Here is a 16,800-nt window from a genome sequence, read left to right as displayed (position 1 = left end):
CAAGACTTCCTGGCTAGTTGGTGATGGAGCTGGAAAGCAGGCCAGGCCTGCCTGATACCAGGGTCTTAATCATGGAGCCCACTGCCATGTTTGAGATGATTTCTCCCTTGAATTCTTTTCCTCTCTGCTATTTCCATCTCTCTCTTTCCTTGCACACCCACGTGCACAGGGCAAATAAGAAAATAAGAGAGGTACCACCCAACCTATCTTGCAAACCTGACCAAGTTCTTTTCCCTCGCTTGGCCTTAATTATCAATGTCACATCTTTAAAACAAGGCCACTGTGTCCCCTTTAGGCCTGAACTCTTAGTTCTTTATTCAGCTTTAGAAATTTTCTCCAACATCTTTATTATAACTTATATTTCTACTGTCCTGATCTCTTCCTTAAAGTGTACAATATTTGCTCTTTTTTCTCTGTTCTCCATGTTTATCATGTACTCTCTCAACATTTTTACCTTTTTCTTTGCATCTTCAGTCTAGGAGGATTCTCAGGCTTCTCTTCCACATCCTGAGATCCTAAAGAAATTTCCACATGAAAATTTCTTTAACGTCAATTTTGCTGTTTTTCATCCTAAAACCTATGTAGATTTTATTATCTTGCTCTCTCTGTGTTTCCTTCCATTATTTTCTTATTTAAGCTTTCTATTTTTGCCTCTCTGTCATCATGTCAGCCTGCTTTTGTTTTTTTCTTGAGATTTTTTGCTCTTTTTCCAGAGACTTCATCTTCATTATGCTATTAAGGATTTTAAACATTTAAAAAATTTTAGAAAACAAGAAAGAAAGTTATCCTAGATGCCTTAAGGTGTGAAAGAGAAGCATCTATTCTATCAGATGCAAAATCTCTGGTAGAGATGTATGTGTGTATATGTGTGCGTGTGTGCAAGTGTGTGCTATACATGTATCTGTGTACTATATATGTATATGTGTGTACTGCATGTGTGGATATGTGTGTCTGTGTGTATTTATGTGTACTATGTGTGTGTACTCTATGTGTGTATTTGTGCATGTGTATGTGTGAGTACTGTGTGTACATGTGTGTACTGAGTGTATGTGTGTGTACTGCATGTGTGCACGTGTGTGTATTTGTGGATTTGCATGTATTTGTGCATATGTATGTGTACATGTGGGTACTGTGTGTGTATTGCATGTGTGTACACTGTGCATGTACATACAGAGTGTGTACTATGTGTATTTGTTCATATGTGTGTATGTGTACATGTGTGTAGTGTGTGTACTGCATGTGTGTACATACAGTGTGTATATTTGTGCATATGTGTGTATTTGTATATGTGGGTACTGTGGGTATACTGCATGTGTGTATGAGCATACTGTCTGTGTGTATTCATGCGTATGTGTGCATGTGTACACGTGGGTACCGTGTGTATACTGCATGTGTGTATGTGTGTGTACTGTGTGTGTATATATGCATATGCATACATGTGGGTACTATGTGTGTGTACTGTATGTGTGTCTGTGTGTGTACTGTGTGTGTATTTGTGCATATGTGTGTATGTGTACATGTGGGTACTGTGTATACTGCATGTGTGTATGTATGTGTACTGTGTGTGTATTTGTGTGGATGTGTGCATGTGTACATGTGGGTACTGTGTGTATACTGTGTGTGTGTGTGTGTGCTGTGTGTGTATATGTGCATATGCATACAGGTGGGTACTTTGTGTGTACCGCATGTGCGTGTGTACTGTGTGCATATTTGTGCATATGTGTGTATGTGTACATGTGGGTACTGTGTGTACTGCATGTGTGTATGTGTGTGTGCTGTGTGTGTATTTGTGTGTATGTGTGCATGTGTACATGTGGGTACTGTGTGTGCCGCATGTGTATGCACAGTGTGTACTGTGTGTATTTGTGCGTATATGTGCATGTGTACATGTGGCGTGTTTGTGTGTGTGTGTATGTGTGTGTGTGTGTGTGTTGCAGAATGGGTGAGAAGAAGCTAAATGACGTTCCACAGAAGAGGACACCCCTGCTTCCATGTCCTGTCTCAGGGAGCCAGGTTCCGAGAAGGCTGCCTTCGCCTTCCTCACCACCCACTCCTGTCGCACCAACCTTCCGGGATGATCCCGCTCTTCCATGACTGGCTGGCTCTGCGGGAGGAAGGGTGCGGAAGCTCAGCAGCGGGCGACTTCACAGGAAGCTTGCCAGGCTGCCGCGGAAGCCACAGAGCGGGAGCTTGGATGTCAAGGTTTGGGAACTAAAAATACGAAGTGAATCTGCAGTGGGCAGATGCAGAGGCCGTTGCTCCCGTGGACGGTGTGCTGCCCCCCACCAGAACCTTCCAGAGGAAAGGGGGTGCCCCATGCCTATCATCCATGGAGGCGCCGAGGCCGTGTGGGACACGCTTTTCCATGCTGGAGTCTTCACTGTGCTTCCTTCAGGAGCTGGAGGAAAAAGACGCGGAGTGTCCTTTGGAACTTCACTGAGTGTCCTTTGGAACTTCACTGAGTGTCCTGTCCACTCAGTGAAGGTGACCCAGGCCCCCCTCATTGGAGGGTCCACACATGGTCCCAGGAGGAGCCTTTGCCGCCCGGCTCCAGGGATGACTCAGGGAGCGCTTTTCCCGTTTTAGCTGCTGCCATGTGTCATCTGATGTGACTAACGTTTCTCCTTGTGATGAGTCACCCAGCCAAGCACAGGAAGACGTGCCTTCAGAAATGCAGGGTTTGAAAGAAGATCCGCTAGGTGGCATGGGCAGGGTGGGGGACGCTCTTCAGCAGCACTTCATTCCCTTTTCAAGGGCCCCTCAACCAACGTCAAGGTCCCTCTGAGTTGTTGGAGGGTGGGCTGGTGGTTCCTGTGACCATGGCCCCCAGGCTGTTTTGGGGAAGCTGGCAGGGGGAACATAGTAGAGTGTGTTCATGAAGGGAGCCAGATATTATGTGTGGGTCCTTTTTCTTAATATTGATAACTTGCAAAGATGTTGACTTCACAAGTAGACCTTAGATTCAGCAAACCCAAAATACTACAGTAGGAAAGACACTGGCTTTTTGTAGATTTCAGAATGTTCAAGGTTGTGGCCTTGGGAATCGGTGCATTCAAACTCTTGCTTTCTAGATGATGAAACCCTGATTCTCAAAACTGCATAAGGTATCCCACCTCCGAGCTTCCACTGCAGTCCTTATCAATGCATTAATGCAGTCCTACTGTCATTGAGGTAGTGTATTATTTCGTTCTCACACTGCTGTAAAGGACTGCCTGAGACTGGGTAATTTATAAAGGAAAGAGGTTTAAATGACTCACAGTTCTGTATGGCTGGGGAGGCCTCAGGAAACTTACAGTGGTCGTGGAAGGGGAAGCAAACACGTCCTTCTCCACAAGATGGCAGGAAGAAGTGCTGAGCAAAAGCAGGGAAAGCCCCTTATGAAACCATCACATCTTGTGAGAAGTCACTCACTGTCATGAGAACAGCAGCATGGGGTGACCTCTCCCATGATTCAGTTACCTCCCACCAGGTCCCTCCCATGACACATGTGGATTATGGAAACTACAATTCAAGATGACATTTGGGTTGGGACACAGCCAAACCATATCAGAAGAATGCCCCTCCAAAGATGTCCACGTCCCAATCCCTCAAACCTGTGACTATGTTACCTTAGATGGCAAAGGGAACTTTGTAGATGTGAGTAAGTTAAGGATGTTGAGATGGGAACATGATTCCAGATTATCTGGATGGCTTGATGTAATTACAGTGGTCCTTATAAGAGGGAGGCAGGGGTGTCAGACTGAAGGGACAAGAGGTGATAAAATAAACAGAGGTCATAGTGATGAAGGGCCATGAGCCAAGGAATATGGGCAGCCTCTAGAAGCTGGAAAAGACAAATAAGTGGATTCTCTCCTAGAACCTCCGGAGAGGAACACAGTCCCATTCTGGATTTCTGACCTGCAGAACAGTGAGATAAATTCACGTTGTTTCAAGCCACTAAGAAGGTGATGATTTGTTATAATGGCAACAGAAAACTCATACAGTCCGTTTCTCTGAATTATCAGTTTCTTCCATGAGGCTGAGAGCAAAGTTGAAAGCAAGAGCTGTGCCGCATTTGTATCTGTGACTGCAGATCTTGTAGGCTTGGCTCATAGTAGACGTTCAGTTAACATGCATGAGCCCACACGACCCTTAAAGGGAAGATGACTGTCCCTGAAGCCACATCCTGCTTCCTTCATCACCATTGTGTAGAATCGACCCTTAGTGTTTGGGAAAGGAGCCAGAGAACAGAGATTACACTCAACCCAGTCCTACCTCTATGTCATAATTTTGGCTGCAAATCACTGAATATTTCCCAATATGCCAGGAACAGAGCAAAGTTATTTCTCTGACTTAATTTAATCCTCACAAAACCACTATGTATGGTAGGTTTACTATGATTCCTATTTTTCAGTGTGAGAATGAGGCTTGGAGAGAAAAAGAGTAAGTAAAATGAAATAAAACCTTGCAGTTCCACCTGACTCTGAAGTCCTTGCTTCTAACCCCTGTGCTGTGCTCATCCTCTTTGAACTTCTGTTCCTAACCTGGTATTACAGAGATTAACACCCATCTGAAAGAGTGTGAGAGAACACATTTATTCATTCATTAGTTCAAGAAGTTCTACGGGGTATCAGCCTGATTCCAGACACCGGCACTGGGGAATATAGCGGCGAACAAAGTGAGCCCCTGTCCTGAGGAAGTGAGAAGAGAGACATCCTATGCAAATAACAAATGTATCATATAAAATAGCATCAGCTAAAGGCTATGAAGAACATTTTTAACTAAATAAAATAATGTTATAGAAGTTAACCTTCTGCCCAACACATAGTAGGTGCATGAAAAAATGTTTGCTGAGTTTCTGAATGGGCATAAGGGATACTGAATAGATTCCCTCACTCTGAAACATCTACTGTCCCCTGGTGCCAGGCCAGGTGGGCTGGGGGTGGACATCCAATGGGACCCTTGTCCTTAGAAGCAGATACTGAGCCAGAATCTTTGGTGTGATGACAGTACTGCACCAATGGCAATTAACTTATGCCTAACCCCACAAAGCCAGAGACAACACTGTTAATAACACTGCCTTCCTCTTCCCAGGGCTCTTCTCCGTGATTCAGCCTCTCATCCTCCAGTCTGTCTCAGCAGTGATTTTTGATCCCCAAACCAAGCCAAATCCATTTTATTTTTCATTATTCAAGGAAAAGCCACTGATATGGTTTGGGTTTGTGCCCACCCAAATCTCAGCTTGAATTGAAATCCCCATGATCCCCACATGTTGTGAGAGGGGCCCAGTGGGAGGTAATTGAATCATGAGGGTGGTTGCCCCATGCTGTTCTCATGATAGTGAGTGAGTGAGTCCCATGAGATCTGATGGTTTTACGTGTCTGGTATTTCCCCTGCTTGCCCTCACTCCGTCCTGCTGCCCTGTGAGGAAGGTACCTGCTTCCCCTTTACCTTCCGCCGTGATTGTCAGTTTCCTGAGGTCTCCCCAGCAATGCAGAACTGCGAGTCCATTAAACCTCTTTCCTTTATAAATTACCCAGTCTTCGACATTTCCTTATACCAATGTGAGAATGGACTAACACAACCACAAATTCACATATCTACACAACCAGGCACTGTGAAGGAGGTCAGAGGTAGAGGGCCTCAGAGAGGTGAGAACAGTGGCAAACTTATTTCTTCCCCAAGAGAAGTCAGTAGATTGTTTTCCTACGTGTCCAGCCTTTTTAAATGTTGGCAATTTGAAGCATCAGCCACAACAACTTGCCCCATGCAGGGTAATACTTAGGGGCCCAAAGTGCCTCCCTGTACTTGCCCCAGGAGCACCCAATACGTGGTAGATTATAGTGATGATGGTAGTAACAACAGTAATAATCACTGCAGTGATACAAAGCGTGTAAACCTGCCCGCAGGGTTTTAAGCCTTTCACAGTCTATGAGTTGCAGGTGTGCCCTCTCGTGGTTATAATTGTCCCTATTTTCAAGATGAGGAGACAGAGCTGCAGAGGGGTTAAGTCAGCTTCCTTAAAGCTTCACAGACAGGAGCAGCTGGTCTGGATTCGAATCCTGGTGGTTGGCTTCCTCGCCCAAGTCTCTAACCTGGGCATCCTCCTGCCTCTCAGAGAGAGGCTAAGTAGAGGTGCACTGATGGCTGCATGAAGTCTGAGAGAGCCAACTCGACTTGACACAGATGCTCAGGCTAGCCCTGACTGCTGGGTCAAGGTCAAGGATCTCCAGGGATGAAAGTCTCTGGTCCCTGGCGTATGCGACCTCCAGTCTCCTTATCAGGCATGCCGGGGACTGTTCAAGCCCCTATCGACTTTGCTTAATGCCTCACCCATTAGTTTTATTCAGAGCCCTTTATGTGTTTGAAAATATTCCTCTTCATTATTCATATTGTGCCACAAGAATGATATATTTGAAGAAATCATCATGAATAAAGTGGCCAATTTAGCAGTGAGATTTACTAGGAAAATACTCAGTAAAAAATAGTCAGCCACCACAGTTTCTGGGAGAGAAAAAAAATGCTGTTTGGGCCTTCGTAGTTATGGAACAATGCTCATAGCTGCGGGATCCTATTCAATAATGTTTCCTATAGCAATTCTCAGACAAAGAAAGAAAAAATTATTTTTAATAATGATAAAAGGGGAAAGAAAGTGGCTTCAATTCTAATCAAACCTCTCGTTACAGAAAAAAGAAATTATCCTCTTTCCCCCTATCGTTCTAAAATAGTTTGGGGGAGGGTAAACATGTGTGTACATTAAAAATAGAATTGCTAATAATCTTGCAAGTAAATGTTCTGGGTTTGGGAGGCCAGATGGCAGGGCAGTAAGAGCTAGAGTCAGAAGCTCGTCTCTACTCAACTCTCATTAGTTCTGCAGTCCAGGAGAAGGGTAGTTAGTTGGCATGACTGAGCCTCCACCTCATCGTCCTTAAAATGGGGTTAATTTTGTACCTAACAGAGAGGACCAGTGTCTCAAAATTCATGTTCTCCCTTTCTTTCAGTTGCATTGGCACTGGGAAGGTGCTGGTAAACCAGCTCACTGAAAACAAACAAAACAAAAACCTTGATGTGTAGCCTTTGTTAAATGCTGTGGTGTAAATACTCTCACCGTGGCTGGTGTTTAGCTTCCCACGACATCCTTGGACGTGGCGCTGGACAGAAATGCACAGAGTCGGCTCTTGATCCCTGGCAGGGAGCAGTGCCTATGCAGGACTAAAGGAGCTGCCCAACCCCAGTCCATGTTTCCCAGCACCCTTCTGCCCAGGTTTCAAGGTGTGGTCATTGATTTTCCTCACTGATCTTTGTTAATTTCAGTGCAAGCTTTTAGAAAACGCGGTTGCCTCTTCCCTGCCCACTCTCACCTTTCTGATGGAGCCACGCAAGGGGAGAAGCCTGAGTCCCTGAATCACTGTATGGAGGAAGCTGTCCCTGGGCACAGACACCCACATGAAACTCTTAGGTGATTTGAAAATATCCTTTTGGGGTCTTTTCTAGCATTACTCTAATGAATGAACCAGCATATGGGATGTTAATAAGAGTGCTTATCTCATAGGATTCTTTGAAAAGCACTTAGCTCAGTGCCAGGCACCCAGGGACACTAAATGTCCTCCCTATTATAGAAGTGCAACAGAAATAGAATAATTAGACTTCTACATTATTATACAGAGAGAAACCTTCTACGTTCCTCAAATACAGATACACTACCGTTAGGGGATACCTATTTATTCATTAAGCACACTTATTGAACATCTACTATTTGTAAACTTATATAAGTCATCTTTTCCTTCGACGAGGCACCTGAACTCCACTGGGGAGAGAAGCCATGTACGTCAGTGGCTATCTGTGTATAAGGCAGAATGGGATGAGTGCCCAGTGAAATCTATAGTGAGCACTGAGTAGTTTCCAGGCACAGGGTAAGCACGGACACCTTGCATAAGTACTTACACTAAGGGCAGGTTTTATTATTATCCCCATTTTACAGATAAAGAAACTGAGTCTCGGAAAAGTCAGAACTGGGATTTGAACCAAGGCAACCTGACTCCAGATCCCACACTCCTACGCAGTGCATGGAACCACTCCCTGCAGTAGTTCAAGGAAAGTGCAGGGGTTACCAACAGACGGGGCTTTTGAGAAGGTCCCTGAAGGAGAGGTGGGCCAGGTCATGTGAAGCCAAGGGCAGAGCTGGTCCAGGCCACCGGAATTTGGAAAGAAAGTGGGTTCCTGAATATGGCGGGCCCCACATGCCTGGTTAAAGAGTTTGGGCTTAGCTCCAAAAATCAAAAAACTTGAAAATAAATTCAAAAACCAGACAGGGCTTGGATTATTCGGCTTCTTCCCTGCAAATGACTACCTGGCTTTAACTCCAAGTCGGAGCTATTTCACTCATTAGCTCAGATTCCATACACTAGCAGTTTCTCTCCAGAACTCAGATTTATTTAAGTTCACCATTAAAATGCAAGCTGGAATCTACTCTAACATCTCCATAGCAATGAATGTCCTAAAAACCAGCGCCAACTTTAATGATTAAATTATCTTTATTTTATTTTCGATTCTTATATCTCGACATTTCCCCAAACTTTATTAGACTTTCACTAATTCAATTATACTTTGCCAAACACCAGGGAGGAGACATGCTCCCCAAAGAGATCTATTCCAGCTGTGAAATATACATAGTGCGGACATCTCTTCAAACACCATCATTTTAACAATGTTTATGGGGCCTCTTATTGCAATTGTTTTAAGTCACAATTTATAATCCTGAATTAGAGAGAAAAAACTCTTCAACCCAAGGCAGTTCTATGTTAAGGATCTTATTGCAAGGAGTGGTAGAGGGCATCATTATAAGGGAAAGTTGTGTGTGTGTGTGTGTGTGTGTGTGTGTGTGTGTGTGTGTGTGTGTTTTTAATGTTCTTCAAGACATTTAACAGGAATTAGTGCTATTTTGACTGTGGTCATTGAATGGGGAACAACTTTAGGGCGTACAAATCATGGAGTGAGCCTAATGTTATAATTAACATAAAGAGTAGATTATAAAAAATAAAAGACACCGATGAGGCTGTGCCAAGTATCAGTTAGCAATGACTTTTCCATTCCTCAGAGAGTTTTCACCCATTCCCAACCTAGGCAAGGCCAGAAGCCAGCCTTTCTCTGTAGAATCATAAGGAGGAGGCCACCCAGAGGAGTACAGAAACATGTGGAAAGTTTTTTTAAGTTGGTTTATTCACCTGCTCAAAACTTTCAGGTTGACCTGACCAGGCCATGTCCCATTCACTCCTTCTGCGAGCAGGGTAGATATTACCTCCTCCAGGAAGCCTTCCATGCACCCTAGCACAGGGACGAGCCTGTCTTCTCAGTGTTCCCAGCATTTATCCCTGCAGTGCACCCTGGCTGGGATGATTCTGGAGTACATACTTCCCATGATTGGTGGTAGCCATCTCCTGAGCTGTCTGGCTTTCCTCTTCACCACTGACCAGGGCCTCATCAGGGGTAAGTCTGACACCCAGCTCAGTAAACACTGTGCAGGTGTGGCTGGCTCCTGAGGTCTGTGGCTCCTAAGGGTCCCAGGTCCATCCAAGCTGTGGGAGAAAGGCCAGGTTGGGGAGGGGTGTTGGAAACCCACCAGTCTCTCTTGCTGCTCAAACCCCAATGCCAATTCTGCGTCCCTCTTCCTCCCAGCAGGCTTCGTAGGAGTCTGCTGCTTTTCCCATTCATTGAGGCCCTGCTTCCCCAGAGATCTCAGCACTTGCTAGGCTGAGGGATGATTCCTTTGTCAGCAGGACATTGAGTTGGATCTGGGTAGTGAGGCAGTCACCACCACCTTGCCCCCAGGTGGGTAGGGAGAACTCAGAAGGAAGGAAGGCGTCTATGCAGAGGCATGAGCAGCTCCTTCCTCTTCAAAAAGGCCTCTCCTCCTGGGCCTGGGGGTGGGATGGAGGCTGTGTTTTGTTATTGGAAGGAAAGGGTAAGGACTAAGTCCTAAAATAAACACAATTCCCTGGGGGAGAGAATCACACTTCACATAATCCAACTCTCTCATTCAATTATTCATTCTACCATCATTTGCTAAAATTTTACTAAGTGTCCTCAGGAAAAGACAAGAGAATCTGGGTAAACATAATAGACACCCCATCCTAACAAGTCAAGGGAAAGACAAGTGATTAAAAACAGAGCTAACATTTGTGCAGAGCTTGTTATATGCCAGGTAATATACTAAACACTAAATGTGTTTACTCTGCCATCCTCTTATGCAGGGGGTACTTTTGTTATCCCATTTTGCAGATGCAGAAACTAAGGCACAGACATTCAGTACTCTACCAAAAGTCATGTGACTACTAAGTGGCAGTACTGAGCTTCAAGTCTGGGAAGACTAGACTCTTAACTTCTCCTCCAAGTAAAACCTGTTGCTCACCACAGTACAATGGGCTCATTGCGCCAGTGAAGTTTATACAACTATTGATTCCACGGGTACACTAAACAAGAATAATAAAGAGTAAATTATCATATGTGGGAGTGGGGAGATCAAGAATGTTTCCTCAGAAAAAGGAGTCGTTTCATTGGAGTTGTAAAGGATGAGGAGCAGTTGGCCTGGACAAGAAGTGGAGGAAAGGGCATTTCATGTCTGAAGAACAGAGGAGTTTTATATGACTGATGTGTGGGGGATGGAAGGAGCAGGGGAAATGGTGGAAGAGAAGAGGCTTAAGAACTAATTTGTGGTTAGACTGAGAAATGCCTTGTATAAAATGGTAAGAAACCAATTATTTTACCACACTCAATAGGAAATGGTGGCAATCTGTGCTTGCATTTTTACCTCAATTCCTTTCCTTTGCCATTCACCTCTCATGTACCTCTCAGCACTAAAGAAAGAGCTCTGGAAAGCTGTGGTTATTCGGCAGGTCCACTTAGCAAACCCTCACCATGTGGGGGCAGAGAGGGCAGCAAAGTGGTTTCAGATAGAAAGCCTCAGTCTGCTCATTGGTGATAATCAGGAGACTCCGGAAGCTCAAGTAATCTGTAACCTAGATCATGAATCCCGAAATAGCACAAAGTGTTATTCCTCCATGATGTTATTTTTAAAATGTACTCATCAGATGTATTTATACTCTGCATCTTTCAATTTAAAAAAAAAAAAAAGAATTTGAGGCAACTTAAAGAGCCAATGTAAAATACGATTAATAAAATGGCACTAAAAATAAGAAAACACACAAGGGTCAGCTCAGTTGCTGTGACTGAGTTTAGAACCAGGATCTGAGCTTCCTAGTGGCCAAAGCAATGAGGGAAACTCAATGTTATATAACTTGGATTGTCCGAAAGCAACAAACCACAACAGCTCCCCAGGGGAGACAGACTTTCCTAGTTCTAAAGTCTGAATGAAATATCTCAAGTTCAATGTTGCACAGGAAACACAGAAATAGCATCATATGGCTTGTAGGAACCTTAAATAAAAGTTAAGAGACATGACATTTAAAGCAGTGTGTGGGAGGAAAGGGATGTGTCCACATATGGGAATTTCCTGGGATCCCAGTGTTTATCCTGCATTCATTCATTCGTTCATTTTTTTATCCCTCCGCTAACAGCTACTAATGACTCTTAAATGTTGGATTGTCTTCTAGGCCCTAAAGTCAGAGAACCAGACACAGGAGGAAGAAGAAACTTCAGAGAGGTGAAGCATGGGCCAGTGCTTGAGAAAAGCATTAACTGATGCCAGGCAGAAGCGAGTATAAAGTCACCAAGGTGGGCAAGGGCTTAGCACGCTCCGGGGATGGGGCTAGGATGAAAGTGGGCCCATTCTAATGTCCAGCTGTAGCAGTGGGCATCGGCAGACACTTGGTTTTCTTACATAAAAATCTCTTCAGGACAGGTCTGGAAGGCTGGACTGCAGCCCTGGGTCTGACCCCAGCCCCCTGTGGGACCTCGGGTGAGCCTTTTAACCTCTCTGTGCTGACTTTCCTGCACTTACAAAAAAAAAACAAACAGACTCCAACCTTAGGATGTTCATCTCTGTCTTGTCCAGTAGAAAATTCTGACTCCATGTATGTATCTTTGAGCCAAAGACAGGATTATTTGTGTCAATAATAAGTAAAAGTAAATAAATCTCTGGTGTTTAAAAGGTACAAAGGTGTTGATCACAGAGGGCTTGGGAATCTGTCAAGTCCTGCCCTTCTCTTCAAACCTCATAACCATCCTTGTGGGGTATTTTCCTTCCCATATTAGACATAAACACCCAGCAACTAAATCCTTAGAGAAAAATAGTTCAAGAACCAAAATATAAATTTTACATGATTACGGGGTGACTTAATATTGAATCTAACCCACATATAATTACATTGTTCAACTCTGGGGTTATTTTCCCTGCTGCTATTATAACCATCTATCTTCCTAACAGGATAATTTGATCAGTTACCAGTTAGTGTTTTTTCGGTTGTACATTTAGGGACTAAGTGACCTGAAGTGCAATCAGAGGAACACAACCGAGTTCCCTTGCTCTCGACTAAACAAGGGCTCTTCACCAGCCCAGAAAAGTTCCACTTTGGTTTTACAGTCGTGAAAGCATCGGTGCATTTCCAGACAGGGGAGCCATAAGATTCAGCAAAATGGGGAAAATGCGATTGTGAGGATGAGATGGGACAATGTGCCTGAAGCTTATGGCACACAGTAGGCATTCAATAAATGATGCTCCCTCCTTATCCTTGTTATGATTATTCTTCAGTGTCTCAGATGTGTCCTCCGGTTTAACTTCCTTGTGTTTTAATTTTTTTTTTTAATGAAGATGAGAGATCTTCAAGGTCACACAGCCCCTGAGGAACTAAAGCCACACAAAAACAAAAGCCTCCAGTGCCATTGCCCAGGGCTCTTCCAATCTGCCCTGCAGCTCCTGTTTGGAATGCAGCCTGACCCTTTGCAGACTGACAGTGGGGGATGCTGACCTACTGGGTGTTCCTGCTGTCAGCAATGGGCTCTGTGTGGCATCCAGGCCCATGTCTCTGAGGCCTCAGCGTTCTTGACACTTGGAAGAGGTAACAAATAGGAAGCTGCAATCCTGAAGATTACAGGGTGCATCACAGTGCTCTGCAGACCCCAGCTGTGCTGTAGCCTCCACCACACAGTTAGCACGTGACTGTTCTTGGGGTGTCCTGCATCTTGGTTACATCTTCCTCACCAGGCTCTGCAGGGGAGACAAGGAGGTCACTGTTCCTGGCAGAGCAGGACACTGGGGGTGACCCTAACGTAGCTCATTTGGGGGTCCAGCAGGTACAAAAGATGTCTAGAAAATGGGCCAATAGTCAACAGGCCCAGAATGAAATATACAAGATGGACATTAGAAGGAGCAGGGAATCCAGGGATGGCAAGATGGGAAGCGCACAGGCAGCAGGACCTGCAATATACAACAGCAAGTGTAAGTGGCCCTGGCTGGTCACTTGTCTCTGTCCTACAAAGCCAAGGCAGGTCTGTGAAGAACTGAGGTTCCAGGAAGGTTATAAGGACCCAAGGAAATGTCTTGGACAGTTTGGTGAGCAATGGGTTTTGTTATGGAGATGAACGTGGAGGTATCAGAACTGAGGACAATAGTTGCATCCATGTGGGATGCATTGGGAGGTAAGACTAGGGACCTGGGCTGGGGCTACTCAAGCCTTCTGTGCACTGGGGAGGGTCAGTACCCTGGGATGCAGGGAAAACCGGGATGGAGGTGCTCAGAGACAGATAGAGCATCCTTGCACAATGCTGGTCACATAGAGGTCCTCAGATGGATTCAGTGATCAACTGGCTGTTCAACCAATCGATTGATGTATGTATATGAGTTCTTGTTAAAGTTAGTGGAAACCTACTCTGCCTGCTTTTTGCAACAAAGGGAGTGGGGGCAGGCTATTGGAAGAAGGCAAGGGGTGGACAGATTTGATGGGAGGCTGAGGACCAGGCTTGTGTAGGACTACGCTGGCACAGGAGCAGAGACAGCATTGGCAACCTAGCATGGCCCACTCCAACTGCCACCAAGTCCACAAAGCTGGCATCTGGGAGTTTGCGTCTCATGGGCTGAGCCAAGGTCATGAGCCTGTCCCCTTGCTGTACCACCAAGCTGGTGGGAGAAGGACCTGAGCTCCTTGGTGTGGGAGGACAGGCAGCAGAAGGAGGGGGTCACCCAGGACTGGTCTCCTCCTGGGTCCGTGTAGAAGCCAGAATTTTTCCCAAAGGGAGAGAAGGGTGAGATGATGCCAAGCGGCTAAAAGATAAAGAATATTCCTCTAATCTGCCCCCTCTGACACTCCTATGGCCCTTTTGATTTTGTGTACTTGGTATCTACCCTAAATAAAGAAGGCCTCGTAGGAAAAAGAAATGGGGGCACCACTGAGAATGTATAGGATCTCATCCATGAGTTAACCCTGCGGTCTTTAGCAGTTGAAGCTTGACTGCCCCAGAAATCCGTAAAAGGCAGCTGCTGCTACAGGCATTCAACTTTATGGCTCTGGCCTCGTAAGTGTGGGACCACTGTCACTTTTCCTTGCTTCTGCAATGAGATTCTTCCCTTTACTCAGTAATCTTTAAAGTATGTATATAATATTGCATAAAAGCCATTATATGTGCACAACTTAGAGTCTGAAACCTTTTGTGGAATATTACATCAAAAATGTTTTACTGAGTCACTGAAACTCTCTTTAACACCGTCATTCATTCATTGATTCTTCCATTGGCCTGCTCATTCACTAGGTTAGTAGTCAGTCATTTGGCAAACACACTCTGAGCACCTGCTCTGTACCAGCCTCTGCTAGGTGCTGGGACATGGTGAAGGACAAGGGGGATCCCCTGCTCTGAAGGAGCTGAAAGTCTAGGAAAAGATGCAGACATGCCATTTGTGAAATGATAACACAGGGTGGCAGAAGCCCTGATGGGAGGTTCTAAGGTGCCCTGAAGGTGCACAGGAGGGCTTCTAACCCTTGGGCTTTTTGCCGGGAGGTGGGTTCAGGTGGGTTAGGATGAGAAAATCCTTCCTAGAGGAAAGGGCATCTCAGCTGAGACCTAAAGGACAATAAGAGCTTGCCAGGTGAGTCATGTCTTTTTTTTTTAATTATACTTTAAGTTTTAGGGTACATGTGCACTACGTGCAGGTTTGTTACATATGTATACATGTGCCATGTTGGTGTGCTGCACCCATTAACTAGTCATTTACATTAGGTATATCTCCTAATGCTATCCCTCCCCCTCCCTCTCCCCCCACCCCACAACAGGCCTCAGTGTGTGATATTCCCCTTCTTGTGTCCATGTGTTCTCATTGTTCAATTCCCACCTATGAGTGAGAATATGCGGTGTTTGGTTTTTTGTCCTTGTGATAGTTTGCTGAGAATGATGGTTTCCAGCTTCATCCATGTCCCTACAAAGGACATGAACTCATCCTTTTTTATGGCTGCATAGTATTCCATGGTGTATATGTGCCACATTTTCTTAATCCAGTCTATCATTGATGGACATTTGGGTCGGTTCCAAGTCTTTGCTATTGTGAATAATGCTGCAATAAACATACGTGTGCATGTGTCTTTATTTTTTTTTATTTTTTATTTTTTTGTTAAAACTAAAGGATACTACAATTTTTTTAATTTATTATTATTATACTTTAAGTTTTAGGGTACATGTGCACAATGTGCAGGCTAGTTACATATGTATACATGTGCCATGCTGGTGCGCTGCACCCACTAACTCGTCATCTAGCATTAGGTATATCTCCTAATGCTATCCCTCCCCCCTCCCCCCACCCCACAACAGTCCCCAGAGTGTGATGTTCCCCTTCCTGTGTCCATGTGTTCTCATTGTTCAGTTCCCACCTATGAGTGAGAATATGCGGTGTTTGGTTTTTTGTTCTTGCCATAGTTTACTGAGAATGATGATTTCCAATTTCATCCATGTCCCTACAAAGGACATGAACTCATCATTTTTTATGGCTGCATAGTATTCCATGGTGTATATGAGCCACATTTTCTTAATCCAGTCTATCATTGTTGGACATTTGGGTTGGTTCCAAGTCTTTGCTATTGTGAATAATGCCTCAATAAACATACGTGTGCATGTGTCTTTATAGCAGCATGATTTATAGTCCTTTGGGTATATACCCAGTAATGGGATGGCTGGGTCAAGTGGTATTTCTAGTTCTAGATCCCTGAGGAATCACCACACTGATTTCCACAATGGTTGAACTAGTTTACAGTCCCACCAACAGTGTAAAAGTGTTCCTATTTCTCCACATCCTCTCAAGCACCTGATGTTTCCTGACTTTTTAATGATCACCATTCTAACTGGTGTGAGATGGTATCTCATTGTGGTTTTGATTTGCATTTCTCTGATGGCCAGTAATGATGAGCATTTTTTCATATGTCTTTTGGCTGCATAAATGTCTTCTCCAGGTGAGTCATTTCTAGTGACAGCAACGTCATCTCCTGGCGAGGGTTTGCAAGCAGAGGTGTGATGCGATCACCATGGCCGTTTATAAAGATGACTCTGCCGCCAGCGGCGTCTGCTATAAGCAGGGGAGTCACCACAAATGGGGATTAACTGGCCTGAGTGAGACTAAAAGCACATTTGATTAAAGCCAGTAAGGCTCCAGAATTTCTACATGGGAGGGGCTGGGGGTGCCTATCTGCTTGGAAGAGAGGACTGGGGACCTGGTTTTAAAGCTGAAGTGCTGTAATCAACTCACAGTGTATTCTTATATCTTTTTCTGGGGTGGCCTGGGGGCTACAGTACTGAGAGAGTTGGAAGAGGAAAGAAAAGCCCCCCAAGCCACGCCTTCCAATTAAAATAGATTCTTCCGTCATCACTAAAAAAAAATTAAATAAATGA

The 16,800-nt window shown here is 44.7% G+C and overlaps 2 annotated features.

Annotated features, from left to right (window-relative positions):
* Nucleotides 2,193-3,392: an enhancer, noted in NCBI's record as "CDK7 strongly-dependent group 2 enhancer chr14:97646084-97647283 (GRCh37/hg19 assembly coordinates)". NCBI's record gives its function as "activates an origin of replication core promoter dependent on BRD2, BRD4, P300/CBP, MED14 and CDK7 cofactors, with strong dependence on CDK7, by STARR-seq in HCT116 cells {active_cell/tissue: HCT116}" and the evidence as "EXISTENCE:reporter gene assay evidence [ECO:0000049][PMID:35650434]".
* Nucleotides 2,493-2,787: an enhancer, noted in NCBI's record as "tiled region #9177; HepG2 Activating non-DNase unmatched - State 13:Ctcf, and K562 Activating DNase unmatched - State 12:CtcfO". NCBI's record gives its function as "activates a minimal TATA promoter and a strong SV40 promoter by Sharpr-MPRA in HepG2 and K562 cells {active_cell/tissue: HepG2 | K562}" and the evidence as "EXISTENCE:reporter gene assay evidence [ECO:0000049][PMID:27701403]".

This window comes from Homo sapiens, chromosome 14, assembly GCF_000001405.40.
Source record: "Homo sapiens chromosome 14, GRCh38.p14 Primary Assembly".
NCBI classification, from domain to species: Eukaryota; Metazoa; Chordata; class Mammalia; order Primates; family Hominidae; genus Homo; species Homo sapiens.
This window is presented reverse-complemented; position numbering and strand designations above follow the sequence as displayed.